A 20323-nucleotide genomic window follows, 5' to 3' on the forward strand; every position below is an offset into this window, starting at 1 on the left:
GACTAGTAGTAGCTGATTAGTTCTTCATTCCACTAAACATAACGATGGGCAAATATCTAGCTGCTTTAAGTCTTATTTTATAAATTGAATATCAAATACTAAAGAAAAAATACATTTTCACAGCCAGGAAAAACATAGAATTTTTTTCAAATTTCAAAATGCCAAGTAAAACTTGAGAGGAAATACCGAGCAAATAAGGAACTTTGTCCCAAGGTATGGAAACATTGACAAAACTATTACCAGTTATAGCTGACCTTTACTGGGTAAAACCTGGATAAACAGGAAAAACTTTAAGAGAAAAGTCTTCTTCAGTGGGTCAAATCCCATGGTTTTCATGAACTGGGCGGACTGCTACAGGGCAGGAAGAGTTTACTACACAGAGAAAAGTTGTGGGAACACAATTATCTTTGAAGAACTCTTGGGCCAGTGTAGGCCCCGTGGTGCCAGTTCCCTGTGCTAAGAGGCAGCCAGGGATATATACCTCACCCTTTGCTATATAGCTGCCTTGCTTAGAAACTTCTTCTAAGAGAAATGCCTTATCTTTTCAGATTTATATTAAATATTTTCCAATTCTATTTCTGCCTTTATCTCAGGAAATTCCAAGTGAGTATGAAGCTCATGCTCCCTCCCTAAAATAGCAAAATAGCAAGCTCTTTGCATGGATTTTTAAAAATTTATCTTTTTTTTTGAGACAGGGTCTCACTCTCTCACCCAGATTGGAGTGCAGTGGTGCAATCTCGGCTCGATGCAACCTCCGCCTCCCAGGCTCAAGTGATTCCCCCACCTCAGCCTCCTGAGTAGCTGGGATTACAGGCGTGCGCCATTACACTGAACTAATTTTTATATTTTTAGTAGAGACGGGTTTCACCATGTTGGCCAGGTTGGTCTCCAACTCCTGACCTCAAATGATCCACCTGTCTGGGCCTCCCAAAGTGCTGGGATTACAGGCATGAGACACTGCGCCCGGCCGTATGATCTTTTTACAAGGTTTCAAGTAACAATTTTATTTCCTTTGCTTCAAAATTTCCAACTATTGCCATTCAAGTGCTTTCCACTGATAGTCTGCAAATACACAACCCTTGAAGAACTCATTGTAACTATGGCCAAAAGAGTCACTGTTTTAAACACAATCTCACATAAAGAAGACTTAAACTAGGTGTACTAGTTGACTCCATCTAGAAAATTATTTCTCCTAGACAGAAATCTTAGATTAGGCAAATGTGACTGAGCTAAACAAAGTCTTTATAATTTACAAGTTCTTAGGGATCAATTCTTAATTTTGTACAAAACCACAATTACCAACATATGATCTCCAACTCTGACAATGGGGTCTTATTTTTAATCTCCATTATAAATTGGCAACAGAAATCTTCTCATCTCATTTCAGTAAAGTTGGCTTTGCCAAAATAAAGAAACTCTCTTTGAACCTGAATCAGATGATGGATGTACAAGTCACTTATTTTCTGGGCTTAGAGTTACTCTGGAGAGTAACCAATGTTTAATTTATCAATGTTCCTAGAAATTAATTAGTTTAACATGACCTACTGTTGTTACCAAAGTGTTTTTCATACTAGGTAATACAAATTGGGCCTGATTATCTAGGCAATTGTATTTAATTTTCTGTTTTGGTTCATGGCAACCAAATTGGCACTTATAACTTTTTCCCTTTTGTCCAAAATTCCATTGGAATGACGGAAGGTATTCATGTGTTTAGAGGAATAAAATTATAATCAACCTAGAAAACAAGAAAGCAAGCAAGCAAAAGACCAAGATACTGGTGAAAATACTGAAAGATGTAGATGGGATCTCACTGGTAAAGAAAACAAAGAAGAGTCAATAAAACCACAAACACCAGGAGTAAGAAGAAGCTTCACACCTTTGGTTGACAAATAGTGTACTTCAATTCTGCTGGCTGTTGTAAAGGAGATTACAGGATACCTGGAAGATATATAATGGGAGAAGTAGTCTCATATAGAAGCTATTGTGGGTTTGGGTCCTTTAGAAATTTCTCTGAGGAAGAAACATTAAGTTGTGGCCTAAAAGATGAAAAAGGAGGCTGATAGTAGTCCTGTATTTTAAAAGAAAATCAGTATCACCGTAATTTAGGGAGGGAGGTTGGAGAGAAGTGGAAAATCAGAAAGAGATAGCTGTTAAAAGGTAGAGCCCTATAGGTTGTGGCATAAACTTTACAGTAATGGACAGCTATTGAAGAGTTATAAACAACAGTCAAATAAATGTTGTAAAAACATTTATTCCATTTGCCATATTGAAAATGGGGTACAGGGGCCAGGCGAGGTGGTTCACGCCTGTAATCCCAGCACTTTGGGAGGCCGAGGCGGGCAGATCACTTGAGGTCAGGAGTTTGAGACCAGCCTGGCCAACGTGGTGAAACTCCGTCTCTACTAAAAACAGAAAAATTAGGCTGGTGTAGTAGCAGGCGCCTGTAATCCCAGCTACTCGGGAGGCTGAGGCGCGAGGAATGCTTGAACCCAGGAGGCGGAGGTTGCAGTGAACCGAGATCGCGCCACTGCACCACTCCTGCTTGGGCGACAGAGCCAGACTCTGTCTCAAAAAAAAAAAAAAAAAAAAAAAAAGGAGTAAAATGGAGTACAGGGTATTAGGAAGAATATATAAAGTACAATAAGATAGACAAATGCAAGTTTTATGCACAAATGAACATCGTTAGAACTCCGACACAATGTCTTCTTCCCTTCAAATGTCTTCACTTTTCCATTCCCACTATCATCCTTCAGCCTAGTCTCTACCACCAGTTTTACTGACGCGTCCCCCAAACGGTTCCTTCACCCTCTTCTCCAACCTGCTCCCAAGTATCCTTCATAGTACAAGGAAACAAATTTTCCGAATCATAATATTTTTCATTTCATTTTTCTGCTTAAAAATTTATCATGTCTTCATATTACTTATAGATGGAGTTTGAGAAAATTATTAAATCTATTCCCCACCTAGGTTCGTAATCAATTAAGCCGCACATATAGGAGTCAGACGAATAGAGATGAAAATATCTCCTTTACTAATGATAAAGCTGTTATCAGCGAACATAGCATTAAGTCTTCTTATTATGTATGTTTGCTAATAATTTGCCTAGTGACATCCATTAGTAAGCATTAAATGGAAGAAGAAGCATTCCCTATATAATTTATATCATGGGGGCTTAACCCCAATTTAAAGAGCATGAAGCCATACCTACTCAATTCCTCCTCCAAAAATCAGGGTAGATGGTTCATTTCTGCTTTCTTAATTGGAGTACATGGAGGGACAGGGAAAACGGGCAATATTATTACCCTAGCGTAGTTCTCTCCACAATTGGATATTTGAAACAACAAGCAAGGAGGGTCCAAAGATTTAATTGCATATACATTAACAGTTTTTGTCTCATTTTCAATATTCTTTAGAGTTTGCTTATTCAAACTTCTTGCTAATTATCATCACAAGCCGCTATTTCTGTCATTTTCCTTGTGCTGTCCATATTACTTGCCTCTTCTTTTAACTCTAGTACCAAGATTGACTGATGATAGGCCATTCAATCTTTTCCAAAGCCGAGGTTAGCATGCTTAGCTGAATGAGTTCGGGCAAATTTCAATTTTATGCGGTTCATAGCAATAGCCATATTAACTAGTATGTTTATTTGTCTCTAAATAAGGTTTAGGTATTCTGAAATGTCTCTCTAGCACTGGATTTCCAGTTAATGAGCATCTCACTAGAAATTTATATTGACAACAACCTTATTAATATTAATCCCCTAGCATTTGCAAGACTAGGACAAAATTTCAGATATCATTTATATGATATTTTTGAAGACATTTTATAAATACAACAAATATGATGGATTATTTCTATTACTATAACTAAATTATGTTTTGAAATACCATACTATTTACTAAGAGCTATAAAATGTGATAGTATCCTATAAAATTAATATCTCAATAACTCTAAAACATGTCAGTTGAAAATAGTGCATATATATTAGTGTGAATGTATGTGGGGGTATGTCAAAAGAGAATCTCCTTAATACAAGCCTCTGCTGGAAATAAAAAATAAAGAAAAAAAGCAGAAAATGAATTATTTAATAATTTCTAAGATGTTCTCAGGTGCCAACACAACAAATCCTAATGAACCCAGGGTTGATTAAATGCAGATAAAGAAGATATGCATTTTTCAAATCTCATGAAGAGAAAAAAGATTTTTCTGTCGATCATTCTCTAATTAAAGTATTAACGGTAAGATAGAGACTGTATTCCCTCTTACTGGAAAGATAAACTGTATGTTTCTATAATATATGTCACCCTAGCAACAACACACAAAGCATCAACTGCCTTTAATAAAAACTGATTTTATAATTAAAGGAGCTAACTGTTGAAAAATAGTCACTTTTTATAGACACTTGAATATGAAAATTGGTTTCTCACACCTCATTATAATACTAAGTGCAAATTAGTATAAGCCTTTGCTCATCCATTCCAAGTAAAGCAGAAGCACAGACAGATCAACCAACCTAGCACTGTACATGACACGTTGTAGGAATTCAACTAGTTCTGTTAATTTAAATACCTGCAATAGTTTTTATTATATCTGCACTATGGATTTTTAAAAAATATGTAACAGCAAAAAAACTACCAAGAATATTTATAATATAAACAGTTTTTTAAAAATATTCTTTCTCATGAAAAAGTCTATTTAGGAACTTCTGGTAAGGGTAAGATAACTTCGACCCATTTTTCCCTTCCTCTTCCCACTAAAACAGCAACAAATGCTGGTAATAATGCAGGAATAAACCCAAGATAACTCTGAAGGTAGTCAGAAGAAGACGACGGAGTTTTGGTTTACTGGGTCTGGAGCAGAAGTTGAGTGACTTACATCTTTTCACTTAATAGAAGCAAGTGACCCAGACTCACCATTTCGAGACCCACAACCAGCAGTCGAAAGCAGCCTAGAAAGGCTTATCTCTCCACATCTAAGAGGATTCCCTGAGACAACATCAGGTTCTCCTGACACTTTCTAGGACAGGATGGGTAGATGCAATCCAGAGAATTGCCAACAGTAAGGGGAAACACTCTCTGTTCCTGGTGGGCCTGCTTCAGCTCTCATCCACAGATACCTGTGAAGGAGTAAAGGATGTTCCATCCCCAAATATGCCAGATTGGTATGTTGGCTATTTTCAGTTGGAAACTTTGGAGAAATTGTAGTTTCAGAAAGAGTTAGCTCACCTGTCTCTTCCTACATGCAGCAAACCATAAAGATTCCTCTGGGAGGGGCACCCTCACAGGACCAGAGTGAGAAAATAGCCCTTATTACCAGAGACTTAGAATTGGAGGCTTCAATGGACCTGAATAAATATATTTACTGAAGTAACCCTTATCTTTCACTAGTTTTATACCCACTATCTATCTCCTAGTGACTCCCCTAGAGAAAATTTACTGTCCCTAGCCAGATTCTCTTTATCCTGTCATTGCTTTCCAAATTCATCAAATTCATCATTCATCATTAAAAGCATCTTGCTTTGACTACTTCTTCAGGCTTCACTTTCTTGTGATGATCTCCACGTACATGTATAAGTAATACAATTTGTATTCTTTTCTTTTGTTTTCTGCCTGATGTCGATTTGGTTTCTAGATCCAACTGAAGAGCCTACTAAGAACTAAAAGGGGGATTGGAGGTGATATCCAATTCCCCTACACCTGCACATGTGATGAAACTGTACAGAACTAAATACACACACACACACACACACACACACACACACACACACACACACACATATAGGAACACCGAGAGAAACTGAATAAAATTGCTGAATTGTAGTAATGTCAATATTCTGGCTGTGATATTATATTATAGTTTTGCAAAATATTAACTTTAGGGAAAAAATGGTAAAGTGTACATAGGATATCCGTATTATTTCTTATTAACTGTATATGTATCTACAATTATCTCCATAAAATGTCAATTTTTTTAAAAGTCAATTTTGATTTTTTTATTTTCTGTTTGGATTTCACTAGATGTTCTTATTGATTTTATTCACTATATAATTGAGAATCATCTTGCTCTGTGTTTACTCAGAGCAAGCTGAACTTTCAGCAATCTTATTTTTAAAAAATGCTACATGATATGACCTTATCAGCAATTTACTAAGTTATTTGAATGGACTTTATGGACATGAACTTATCTTCAAAGCGTCTTTTCTGTTTAAAGCTATGTCCTTTACCGTTTTTTTTAAACTGGAAGCATTCCTTCCCTGCCAGCTAAAGAAAATTCCATGTTATTAAAAATGGTGGTTCTCAGCCATAATTAATACACATAGTTCATAACACCCATTTAAAATTGGTAATGTGTTTATAAGAGAGGTGAGACATGCAAGAAAAGAAGTGGTACCAAGTGATCACCAGAGACACATGGAGTGTGTGAGTGTAGGAGAGTTATTTAACCTCTGTGCTATTTATTTATTTACTTATTTGAGATGGAGTTTCCTTCCTGTTCCCCAGGCTGGAGCGCAATGGCGCCATCTCGGCTCACTGCAACTTCCGCCTCCCAGGTTCAAGCGATTCTCCTGCCTCAGCCTCCCAAGTAGCTGGGATTACAGGCACCCACCACCACACCCGGCTAATTTTTGTATTTTTAGTAGAGACAGGGTTTTGTCATGTTGGCCAGGCTGGTCTCAAACTCTTGACCTCAGGTGATCCACCCGCTTTGGCCGCCCAAAGTGCTGGGATTGTAGGAGTGAGCCACCGTGCCCGGCCCACCTCTGTGTTTTACTTTCCCTATCTATAAAAAGGGAAGTAAAAATAGTATCTTCTACTTAGGATAGTTATGTGCTATAATATGTGAAGCCCTTATTTCAGAGCCAAGCATATAGTAAGCACTTCCATAAATATTAATTATTATTATTACTCATGGAACATAATTGATTCCCATTAGAATTTGTAGGAGTAAGGAGGTAACACTTTAAATCTACTTTGTTCAGAGCTGCTTCTCGCTGGAAACCTTTTAAGTAGTGTTTGTATCACCTTTTCTCCTAGCACTTACATAGTGTACTGCTTGTGTAATTAACTCCATGGATAAAGAAATATCCTTCCCCTTCCATTTACTAGCTTTTTAATAGTGCAGCTTCAGGTCTTCCACTAGAAATATTAGAATTGTCACTTAATTTTCAACCTCCCGATATTTAATTGAAAGATGTACAATATAATTTAAAAGGTACCTACCCATAGGGCAACTAATTCTGAAAACGGGTGATAAGTGAATAAAGGAAGTATGCTTAATTTCATTTTCATGCTTTCGCAGTTTCTATCTTATATTGATAAAGAAATCCTAAGCTCTACATCTGTATAAGAATGTATCATCCTTTCAATATACTTGTATCTATATAAAATGCAGATGTGTATATTCTTGTGTGTGCATACACACATGCACAGCTATAGAATATAGATATTTTAATTTAGATAATTTTAGGACTTTACATAAAATGAATCACATATGCACTATTATGATGTTTTCCCCAATGCAAGATAATATTTTCTAAGATTTTAGACATAAGATGTATTTTATCATGTACAATGCACTCTAAAACTTACCAAGTTTCCATTTACAAGGGAAAACGATTAAAACCACAAATTGCTATAGTTAAGAGTTTGGGATTATTTTATTTTATTTTACAAATGAGAGCATTCATTTCTGAATACCTACCATAACACATGCATACATCTGTCAGAAAAAAAAAATCATATTTAGAATCCAAGTTTACTCCCGGAGAACCTTAACCTATTTCAAAAACATCTTTGGGAAGATGTCAGGAATTTTCACAATTTCTATTACACTCTTCTGATTTGAGTCAAAGAAAATAATTTTCAACATAATAGGACAGCCCAGGGAGGCGAGTTTCAGCCAGTTGCTGTGGAAAAACCAGAGGCAGTCGCTGTCATGCAGCTGCCAACACCACAGTTGGGGGCCTTGCCAAGTAGACAGATGCCAAAACAGAAAAAATAGCTTATTCCAATTAATTGTTGAAACCTATAAAGGTAAAACACTTCATGTGTGGGCCTGACTACAGAACTGCTTTGTCCCCCAAAGGCATCGTGTATTTGCTTTTCATTGTGGGGGTTGCTAGAAACATAGAAATAATATTATTAAAGTATAGAAGATGTCCAAGGAACATGCATCTTTCCTCTAGCAAAGAATAATTTAAAATTAAAATAAGTATTATACTTATTACTTTTCTAAATTGCGACTTCTCTCCATGCCTCACTTTCCCTCTCTGTAAAATGGAGATAATAGCATCACACTGCTATTTTAATGAGAAAAGTGAAATAATACATGTGATGTACTTAATGGTGCCAAGTAGTTAGCATACATCAAACATGAGCAATTATATTATTCCTATTATTATACCAAGTTAGTTAAACTTGTATTATTTTACTACTAATATTTGTATTACTGCACTAAGTTAGATAAATCAAAACCATTGTTAAAGCTGATCTAGAAGTAAGTTATTAGACATTTCTGTTTAGGAGATATCAGTTACTTAGAAATTTAGTTACTATAAATAAGTCTTACATATAGAAAATTACCTTTTTTTGGTGACTTTAGAAATTTAGGGCGTAAGAAATAACTTTTCAAAGAAAAAAATTATGTCATCATTTTAAAGAGCTCTCTCAGTGAGTATTAATTGTGTTCATAGCTAGATAAATGTGTGCACACACAACACATTACGGCCAATTCAAATTTTAAAACAATGCCATTATAGTGGAATTTCATCCTATTCTGTATGGGATCAAAGCATCCAGAGGTCTAAAAAACATTAAAATAACCAATCCTCTAGGTGCTTTTTAAGTTTTCAGTTAATTTGTCTTATCTACATTGAAGCAAACAATCTAAAACTTGCAATGGATATCTGTGAAGCATACATCAAAAGAAAAGTATAGTAGCTGTTAGTTCAAGGAACTGAATGATAGAGCTTCCAATTAAAAATACACACATGTGTTGTTTATCTTATTTCAGTGAACTAAAAGGTTATTTGCATTTCTTGTAAAGTGTGCTCATCCCTTTAAGTTTCAGTGAACTGTTTGAGAAGACATAGGGAATGGGAATGCATTTTATTACAACCTTTCCCTTTATTTGGAAAGATTATTCGGTAGCTGTTTCTGAAATGTCTAGTACTACTGTGAAAAACTAGTACCCACAATATAGTTCTAGAAACAGAATAGACAAAGTTGCTTCTGATATCTTTCTGTCTACTAGTCAGGAATGCAAGACAATTTCAGATCAATGATCCTTCTACTATCAAAAGTCATGGGACCTAAGGATCAAGATCACTTTTATTTTTGCTCCATTTGAATTATCCAGGCAAAACCAATGACATAAATGAGGCCTTACGTGACCTGACATCCCTATGCCTGATCTAGCAGGACTGTGACATCAACAGTAAAGCTAGACGGATCAAAAGGTGCCTCCAATGCCCGTGTCAGCGTCAGCTTCAGCAGAAGCTCCCCACTTGGCATTCCTGCTTGAGTGCTTTGCAGTCCTGGCATGTCACCTAACTGGCTGGTGCTTCCTAATAGGCCCTACACCACTTCTGATTGATGTGTGAATATGCAAACCTTACTGGAATCCAGGAGCCAGATGGCCCACATACCAAGTATAGCAGCCAGACAAAACAGAGGCAGATTCAGCAAACTGTTGGAGAGTTACATTTTTGGTGATTCCTACAGACACCTAAGTATACATAGTCCTATTTAATTGATTTCATTCCATGTTAACCCACAACAATAGTGCCTCTGTCATTAAACTGCCACATTCTAATTAAAGGAGAAAATTCTTTCTTTTCTCCTTTCCATTTAGCATGAAATGAAGGCTTTTATAATCAACCTGATTCTACCCTGCTACTTGTAGAGGCTGTCATGTAGTCTCTAAAGGCACAGGTGAACAAAATCTCTTTGCTGCTTCTCTAGGATAAAGCAGTCACTTATTTCTTTCATTAAACTTAGATGAATTATTTAAAACAAAAGCCATAACTTGTATAAAAGAGTGCCCAGATGAGGGTGTATCCTCCCTGAGTGAGTAATATCTAGTATATATCAGCCACACAATAAAAAATGATGAAAATGGTAAAAATTATAAAATGATAAAAAATGATTAACAAAACACAGGAAAATCATATATACATATATATGTGTATATATATATATAAAATCACACACAGCATGTCTCATAATGAAAAGTAGAAGTTACTTAATATCGGTTTTCTTTTTTTACATATGTAAAATATCATTCATGGGTGTACTTGTGTGTGTGCACAACCACATTGAATGGAGACATTTCAATTAGAACTTCTCCGATAGAAGAAATTTAATCCACAAATAGGAAAAGCAGTATATCTCAGCGTTAATCACTTATGCCTTAAAAATAATCATGATAGCAACCAAAATTCTTTCTGGAATCTGAATCAGCCACACACATGTGTTTCTGACTTTATTCATTAAGATTAGCAGCCTTCCAGAAATCACTAAAATGGAATCTTCAAAAGCTCCAGTTCAAGATCTGGAGATAAAATGAAAGTCTGGTGATCCTTTCCATAGACTCTGAGGACTTTCTTTACCGTCTTAATGTCTTCAATGGAAAAACGACCGTGTATGACAAAATAATAAGTTTGCTTCCTGAGCTTGAAATGAATGGCTGCCTATCAGATCCACTCTGAGCATATCACTTCAGGCTGTCAGGCCAGCCACATTGCTCACAATTTCCCTTTGGGATAAGCTAATCCTAAAATCATTTTATAGTTTGGATAGTTTCAGCATGAGATATTGATGTCTTTGTAGAAGTTCTATTGCATAACATATACATGGAAGACTCAAGTTATACGGATATGTATGTACTACACTAATTGTGTAGTGTGACTATGTATGCATTAAGAATTTTAATCAATTGTGTAAAGGGAAGCAAATGTTCATCTTTCATATCTCAACCAATAGTTTTGGTTCTCATGGAAATCAAACATTACCTTTTTGTAATAAAATCAGTGTTTCAACAGAAATATATTTCACAATGAACCTTGTTTATAATGACCATCTAAAATTTCTTTAAGAGATGGGCATTACAGGTCAAAGATAATCTGTATGAAAAAAATACATAAGATATTATAAAATGTAGCTTAAACTGTTGTGTATTAGGAAAAATTTAATACAAATTCTGCTATAATTCAAAAAGAAAATAATGAAGGGAAATAAAAGAAAAGAATAAAGTGGAACAAAATGTGTCACATAAAACAACATATACCAGGGTAGGGTACTATAAAGTTTTATTTCTACAGCTTTGAAAGAAGCTAAAAACTCACTTGTGACTCTGTAGCTCATGAGTAATGTGGTCATTTCAAACTTATGGTGATAAAACTTTATGGCACTCTAGTTCAGAACATATGTCAAACAGAGAAAAAAGTAAAAATCAAAATGAAATGTGACAAAACACTGCAAAACCCTTCTCATCTGACACCACTATTCTGGTTTTGTCTGGGAATCGGTGGTCAATTTCATTTTGAAATTTCTGTCTCAGAGTCATGTAGCAACTTAAATGACTGCTCTGATTAGCATCAAAGTAAGTGTAGAAAAATGATTTGCTTTCATCATGATGGTGTTAACAATATGTACTTCAGAAAATGTCATCGTTAGTGTTGCTAAAGTAAGAACAGAAGCATAATTCCTGCAGTTAAATTCCAATCTAAGATATTTGACCTTCACACGAAAAGAATGAAGACAAAGCCTTTCTCTTTTAAAAACTATTTTTATGGAATATATTAATTTTAGAGAAAATGTCATGTCTTTACAATGAGAGCTCAATATTTTCAAATGATGTGGTTATATATTAAATGAATACGTTCATTTTCTTACCATTAAATTTTTGGTATTAGTTCTGGGAGGCCATAATTTTTCTACTTAAATTTTTGCCTGTATATAAAAAGTACTTTGTGTAAATAGAGTCCAATTTGACTTTAGTTTATTAGTATTAATTAGTTGTATTTTGTCACTTGGACAACTTGCAAAACTTTGGTGTTATTCTGATTGTCACTCCATTTTCTTAGCTGTAGGGCCAGAATCTAATTAATCCTATTATTAATAGTTGTCTAATTTCTCACTATTCTGTTCCTTAGCCTAAAGGTTTCATAACTCTGTATGAAAATGAGAAAACCTGTCATTGATTAATATATGTTTGTTTTTGTATTAATTGTGCAACTGCAATGTTACTGCACATAGAAATGTAACTCCTTGATTGAGGAGCACATTGCCACACATGGAATCTCCAAAATGCCAAGTGAAAATCACCACTCTTAAGAGTTTATTTCAGAGTGTTGACTAAATTGTTTGGGGACTTCTTTGCCTATAACATAAACTTAAGAGTTTTTGAGGTACTTGTTTTCCTTTTAATCAAATACTTAGGGAATTATAAGTGTCTTCTTAGAGACCATGCTTTCATGCCTAGCTACAGTTGACCAACTCTTTTAAAAAGCTTTGTCTCCTGAAATAATAATAGGAACAAACTCAACATTTCTAAGAGAAGAAGACACCGTTATCAACTGAGTGCAGTGTAATTCATCAGTCATTGATAAAATCATATTCTAGATTAATCCAGGATTCATTCAATTATTTCTACCAAATCTCTTTCCCTTCAAGAGAGGGAGTGGAGTTAGTTGTCATCCAAAATGCTAATCCAAAATAATAAGGGCCATTTAAGAGAAGTTATTGAGTTGCTTTAGAACTTGTAGATTCTATGCTATGCTGTCACTGTAAGTAGCATTATTTTAGAAAATAAACCCCTAAACCTTAATTTAACATGAAATGGTTCATAACTACAACCACCTGAACTGTGATCAAATCATGTCACTTAGATCCATGTAAAGCAGTACTTACTACACCCCTCTCACCTGGAGAGTTTACTGAAAGGCATACCTAGGGAAAAGGCATTCATCTAGTGCTGCCCCAGTTTGAAAGCGTACCAAAAAGTATTCACACAAGGTTTGTGTCACACAAGGAGAAACTGTATGTGCCTGTTCTTGAAACCCACAGCAGTAATGGTAACAGAAGAATAACAAGAATACATATCTTGATTCCATATACCAAGCTTTATCCTAGAAAAGGTTGGGATTACTGGACTTAAAAGAACATGGTATTCCGTAATCAGACAACCTTAATTTGGGACCATTCTGGAGACTGCTTACCACAGTGATAATTATACCTAATTTGTTAAAATTCATTTTTTCCAATTATAATAATAATTAGAAAACTATAAAAGTATACAAATGCAGTACGTTTTATCTTAGTTTTCTTCTACTTCAAAATTATATATATTATCTAAAATTTGTTTTTCTTTTCAGGTTATTTCTAAGGTACTTTGATTTTTGTTAAATAATTCAGTTTAAATTCCACGTTTTTATGTAGAAAAAAATCAAGGATTTGATTTCTCTTATATTCAAAAGTGCAATCGTTTTCTTTCTACATTGAGATGAAAGTATTTTGGAGCATAAACAATACACGCTAAATAATTGCAAATAGCTTTTAAAGGCTAAAGTTTGCAATACTGAAGAGCTAAACCAGCATTGTCCATTAGAATTTTTGGTGGTGATAAAAAACAAAAAATGTTCTATACATGCACTACATAACACGATGGCCACTAAAACCATGTGACTACTGAGCACTTCAAATGTAGCTAGCAAAATGGAGGAACAACATAGTTTCTTTTACTTTCACTAATTTAAATTCAAAATAATTTTTTGCCATTGTCTAATGGCTACCAAATTGGACAGCACAAGTCTAGAATTTAATTACTAATACATGTATACTTTTTTTATTGGTACATATGTCATATAAGGTTGTATGCGCAGAAGCATACAGATAAATGGATGCCATCTTGTTACTATCTAAAAGCCAACATACAAATGTTTTATGACTTAAAAAAATGCCACAGATTCTTGCTTCACTTTAATGTGAGGAACTCAGATATTTATTAACATAATTTTGACCAAAAGTAGCCTCCATACCAAATGCAATTATTTAGCCATTTCTGCAAGACTGGAGATTTTTTCCCCAAAAACTAACTAGAAAAATAACTTAATCCTCTGTTTTAATATGCCATTTCACAGCTTGCAATTGCTTATTGTGAATGCTCCTATTTCTTTTCTTGAAACTTTGGCAAAACTATTATGCCAGAACATGATTTACATTTTGTCATTCATTTAAAATTCAGAATGGCTTTTTATGCCATTAAGTCTATTTATTTACATTAAAGACAAATGCATACTTAACAATTTGGAGAAAACAATCAAAAGCTTTTGAATCATTCTAATTGGTGAGGGCTTATTCTTTAAAAAGTAACATCTATTTGATGTAGATCTGTGATCTGACAGAAAACTAATTGTTTTAAGTATTTGTAATCCAAGCAGCAGTGATGCAAATGAATTTAATTATCAGTTTAAAAATCCAAACAATGGGAAGTAAGACAACACGCTGCCTTCAAAGCTATAGTAATAAAAGAAGTGCTAGTACATTTCCTCATGTACCTGGAAATGAGTGGCCCAGATTTGCTTGCACTAAAGTCTACATGCCTAATTTTAATCATTTTGATTGTATAATCAACTTCCCCCAGTCATTTCTAAAGATAAATTAAGATGCATGCTTTCATTAAGAATAAAACACCCTGATTTCTTCATATTTCTAAATAACTTGCCTTTTCCAGGTTTTCTGAGGTAAGAATTCCTGAATGATACTCACAAAAGTAAAATGTACACTGAATCTAGTAATTATATTTATTTTAATTTTCTTTCTTTAAGAACAGACTGTTGGCCAGGTGGGGTAATCTCAGTATTTTGGGAGGCCGATGGGGGCGGATCACCTGAGGTCATGAGTTCAAGACCAGCCTGGTCAACATGGTGAAACCCCGTCTCTACTAAAATACAAAAATTAGCTGGGCATGGTGGCAGGTGCCTGTAATCCCAACTACTTGGGAGGCTGAGGAAGGACAATCGCTTGAACCCAGGAGGCAGAGGTTGCAGTGAGCCAAGACCACGCCATTGCACTCCAGCCTGGGCAACAAAAGCCAAGCTCTGTCTCAAAAAAAAAAAAAAAAAAAAACTGTCTATTTTATATTGAATTTGAGTAAAATGCAAAATATGCAGTGAATTTTACTAAAATCAATGTATTTTACTGAATATTAGACCAACGCATTGTAGTTGGGGATTGCCCCTTTGGCAAAGCTCCCATTTAGTTCCCAACTATTCTGATTTATAGCTAATATGGAGAAAAGTTAGGAAATGAAGAATTTTTGGACTGACACAATTATAAAACCAAGAGGAAAAAGCCTACAGTTTTTAAACCAAAAAACCTAACTTTAGAACCCGGATTTGTGAGTAAGTAGTTTGAGCAAGTCATTTAGACAAATGCTCTTCAAGCTATAGGTCAAGACATTTGTGAGCTGTACAACCCGTTTATGTGTCATAACTGCCATTAATGTAAAAAATCAAATAGAAGGCTGGTGCGGTCGCTCATGCCTGTAATCCTAGCACTTTGGGAGGCTGAGGCGGGCGGACTGCCTGACCTCAGGAGTTCAAGACCAGCCTGGGCAACACGGTGAAACCCCGTCTCTACTAAAATACAATAATTAGCCAGGCATGGTGGTGTGTGCCTGTAGTCCCAGCTACTTGGGAGGCTGTGGCAGGAGAATTGCTTGAACCCAGGAGGCAGAGGTTGCAGTGAGCTGATATCATGCCACTGCACTCCAGCCTGAGCAACAGAGACTCCATCTCAAAAAAAGGAAAAAAAAAAACAAATAGAAAAGAATGAAATAAAATTATTAAAGTGTGGCTACATATACTAAAAATGCCACCTTTTATAAAACTTTTGTTTTATTTCTGCATGTGTCTGTGTGTTTTGGGGGGTACTGGATCATCAAGAGTGCTCACTTTTTCTCTTAAATTGGATTGTGAACAATGTAGGGGAGAAAAAATTGATTTCCTCGCCTATCACAAGGTTCATAGCTGAGACCCCTATAGCAAAAGAAAGGTTAACAAGAGAAAAGCATACAAATGTATTTAATATAAATTTTACAAATGATACCAGGACACAGGAGCATTCAGAAATGAATACCTAAAGAAAAAGGGGAGACCTGTGTATTTTTATGCTAAATTTGATGAAGAGTGGACAACCTGGCAGAAGTATGATTGGAGAACAAAAGGGTGTAATCTAATGGTAATAAAGTTGGGGTGGGGGGGAATGTAGCAAAGCCTGTTTGTTCAGTCTTCTCTGTGTCCCAGTGTGACATTCCTTTCCTTTAGGTATGGGACACATGAGGGGTCTTATGGCCTACTTCAGAGCAAGGCCAGATAATTCTTTTCTGATCTGCTTCAGAGGAAAATGGTGGCAGAAGGTCAGAGACTTTCTCACTTCCGCTGTTTCCCGAAATGCCAAGGTGCCATATTTGGGGATGATATGTCCTAAATCCCACTAACAACAAATATAAAAAAGGTGGAAGCCCCCAATTTAAAAAAAAAAAAAAAATAGATTGTTTAATCATTTGAACTTGGGAATCTTGAAAATATTAAAAAGAATCCTGATTCTTTCTCCGTTTAGCCTTGAACAAGTTATTTAACTATTCTCTGCTTTGGTTCTGTCATATGTAAAATGAGGATACTAATAATGTCTATCTCAGTACGTTGCTTTAAGAATTAACTGAGAGTGCACATATATCTTTGACAAATCAATTAAAATACCTTTGGATATATATCCAGAAGTAGGAAAGTTGGATCATATGGTAATTCCATTTTTAGGTTTTTGAGGAATCTCCATATTATTTTCCAAAATGACCATACTAATTTACATTCCCACCAAGAGTAGACAACATTCTGACCACAAAACATAAGTTAGTGAGGTGATAGATATGTTAATTAGCTTGATTGAATGTTTCTGTAATATATTCATAGATTAAAATATCACATTGTACACCATAAATTACTCAACTGTTACTTGTTCATTAAAAATAAATAAATAAGGTCAGTCACCGTGGCTCACGCCAGCACTTTGAGAGGCTAAAGCAGGTAGATCACCTGAGCTATGGAGTCTGAGACCAGCCTGGGCAACATAGGGGACCCCCATCTCTACAAAAAATAGGAACATTAGCTGAGCATGGTGGGGGACACCTGTAGTCCCAGCTACTTGGGGGTTCAGGTAGGAGGATGGCTTGGAGGTCAAGGCTGCAATGAGCCGCAATGACTCCACTGCACTCCAACCTGAGTGACGAAGTGAGATCTTGTCTCAAAAACCAAACCAAAACAAGATAAATAAATGCAATTAAAGAACTCATGCAAATCCATTATAACAATGCTTGACACTTAATAAAGGCTAGCCATCTGTATGACATCTCTGTTCTATGACTTTTTAGTTACTTTTAGGTTTAATGTGAATGTTTTTTCTTTCTTTTTAACTTAAATGCCGTATAAAGCACTCTTTTAAATAATGTACATAGAAACTTTATCTAAAATTCCTAGTTATGTGATTTTGCTAACAGGCATATTTTTCATGGAACAAAAAGTCACGGACAACAAGCCCTCATTGTCCATTTTTCTCATATGAATTTCTCTGTACTTGAAATGTTACTGTCAGGACTTGGCTCTGCCCTGCTTCTATCATGCCTGTCACCTTATTCAATAGAAACAAGATGAGTGTTCTTGGCATTGGGAAGCAAGAAGTTAGTATTGTAAGTATGATTATTTCACACAATACTAGAAATCGTTGCTGAGGAACAGCCTGCATATTGCCACGGAAGAAGGCTGGGATCCTGTACCCTGAGATAGGCCAAGTGAAATAAGGTCTATTCATAGACTTGTATGGTAGTTACAACATTGGTTGTTTTAGATAATAATGTAGACTTCATAAATCATCTAACACTTGGAAAATATTACGTACCATATAGTAAACTCTTGAAAGAGCATTTTAGTACCCCCAGAACAATGCTTGAAAATTTAAGGCAAATTACTTCCAAATCAACACAATTTTGAGTGTAACTTAACTCTGGCCTTTGATATGGTAAACTGCCAATTATAGCTATCTAGCTCGGATTTAAATTGAATTAGATTAAACTGTGACCCAGTGATTTTTCTGGTTTCTTATGTGGTCAGTGCAAACAGTTATATTTAATGGTGGTAAAGCTGAGATAAAAACGTTAAATGTAAGAGTCAATTGCAAGGTCATTTTCTTTCCAAGTAATGAAAACGTAGTACTTGATCCGCTGTAAAATTACAGGCTAATGACTCAGTCCTACAGAGTAGCTCTCAAACCTTGTTCGATGTACCCACACTGATTTAAGCAAAGACAAAGTATCATTTTGACGATTAAATAATGACAAGGAGCATAAATCACGTCTTAGATGGTGCCACAAAATACAAATTTTAAAGGTCTCAATAGACATTTTTGGATAAAATAATGAGAAAAAAATGTTCAATCAAAGGTGGATGGTAAATATTTACAAATTTTAAAAATAAATATTTATAAGTCCTATTACTTAAAAAAGTAATATAGTACACATTGTAATATTTTAAGAAAGTTTTAGTATTGTTTTCTGAGGCATCAAATTCCATTTTTTGAAAGTATCATGAAGAAGGATATTAAAGTACTTTAGATTGCCCTGCCAACTGTAGGAGACCGAAATATGCCATCCCAAAATATGTCACAAAATATGTCAAGAAAGCAGGCTTGATGGCCGCGGTGGCTCATGCCTGTAATCCCAGCACTTTGGGAGGCAGAGGCGGGCGGGTCACCTGAGGTCAGGAGTTCGAGACCAGCCGGGCCAACATGGCAAAACCTCTACCAAAAATAAAAAATTAGCCAGGCATGGTGGCACACACCTGTAGTCCCAGCTACCTGGGAGGCCGAGGCAGGAGAATCGCTTGAACCCTGGAGGTGAAGGTTGCAGTGAGCCGAGATAGTGCCATTGCACTCCACCTTGGGCGACAGAGCAAGACTGTTTCAAAAAAAAAAAAAAACTAGCTTGCATTTTATTGCTGGATTTCTCAAGTTGTGCTCATAGGGCACAATGGAGAAAGAAAAACATGTTCTAATAACATATTTTCAAGGTTAGCCATTGTCAAAAGTTTTCATTCACTGAAATAAAACAGATTAATGAATCTATAAGAAAGCATATGTATATTTGCCTTTTTCTGTTGTTATTTTTATAGATTTAGGAGGTACAGTGTAGTTTTGTTACATGCATATGTTGGATAGTAGTGATGTCTGGTCTTCTAGTGAAACCATCACTCCAATAGTGTACATTGTACCTAATAGGTAATTTCTCACTCCTCACTCCCCTGCCACAATCTCACCTTTTAAAAAATTTTGTATTTTTAATTTTTGTGGGTACACTGTAGGTGTATAAATTTCTGGGGTACATGAGAGCCTCCCGCCATTTTTTTTTTTTTTGAGATGGAGTCTCGCCCTGTGCACCCAGGCTGGAGTGCAGTGGCGCGATCTCGGCTCACTGCAACCTCCGCCTCCTGGGTTCAATCAATTCTCCTGCCTCGGTCTCCTGAATAGCTGGGATTACAGGCACGCGCCACCATGCCCGACTGATTTTTGTATTTTTAGTAGAGACAGGGTTTAACCATGTTGGTCAGGCTGGTCTCGAACTCCTGACCTCGTGATCTGCCTGCCTCAGCCTCCCAAAGTTCTGGGGTTATAGGCGTGAGCCACCGCACCCGGCCCCTCTCACCTTTTGAAGTCTCCAATGTCTATTATTCCATTCTCTATGTTCATGAAAATATGCCACTTTGACACAGGACTATTTTGAGCTAAAGGCAATTCAGAAGAAGCAGATATAAGTTCTCTGCCCTCCCACTATTTGCCTGAAAACAGTACATACATTTGCAAAGGTGTCCATCCTCTCCTCTCTATCAGAAAGGACAAAGTTTGATCACCAATGACAACTTTAGATCTTTATCAGCCCGGAGACTGCATCAGAGGAATCTACATAATAAATTTTCTTAACTAGCCTTTATCTACCATCAGTTTCCCATATATTTGCCTTCCTGAAATTGGCCACTCATAGAGACTCAGGGTCCTTTTCCCTTGTCTTGTTACTTCTCAAAAAACGTATTGTTCTTTGTCAGAGAAATTTATTCATTTTTCCTTATATATCTTTCATGTATACATGAGGTGTGTATGTTAGTAAACTTTATTGTTTTTTTCTTGTTGATATCTCTTTTGTTATAGGAGTCCCAGTTAAGAAATAAAGGTAGAGGCTAGATGCGGTGGCTCACACCTGTAATCCCAGCTCTTTGGGA

General features: G+C 35.9%; 1 protein-coding gene across 17 annotated transcripts in view, besides 1 other annotated feature; it reads right to left on the reverse strand.

Annotated features, from left to right (window-relative positions):
* Nucleotides 1-20323, reverse strand: part of DMD (dystrophin) — a 2220167-nt gene that overhangs the window by 1858578 nt on the left and 341266 nt on the right.
* Nucleotides 9268-9854: an enhancer, noted in NCBI's record as "OCT4-NANOG hESC enhancer chrX:33005184-33005770 (GRCh37/hg19 assembly coordinates)". NCBI's record gives its function as "activates a minimal SCP1, AML or CMV promoter by ChIP-STARR-seq in primed H9 embryonic stem cells {active_cell/tissue: H9 hESC(primed)}" and the evidence as "EXISTENCE:reporter gene assay evidence [ECO:0000049][PMID:30033119]".

Source organism: Homo sapiens, chromosome X, assembly GCF_000001405.40.
Source record: "Homo sapiens chromosome X, GRCh38.p14 Primary Assembly".
NCBI classification, from domain to species: Eukaryota; Metazoa; Chordata; class Mammalia; order Primates; family Hominidae; genus Homo; species Homo sapiens.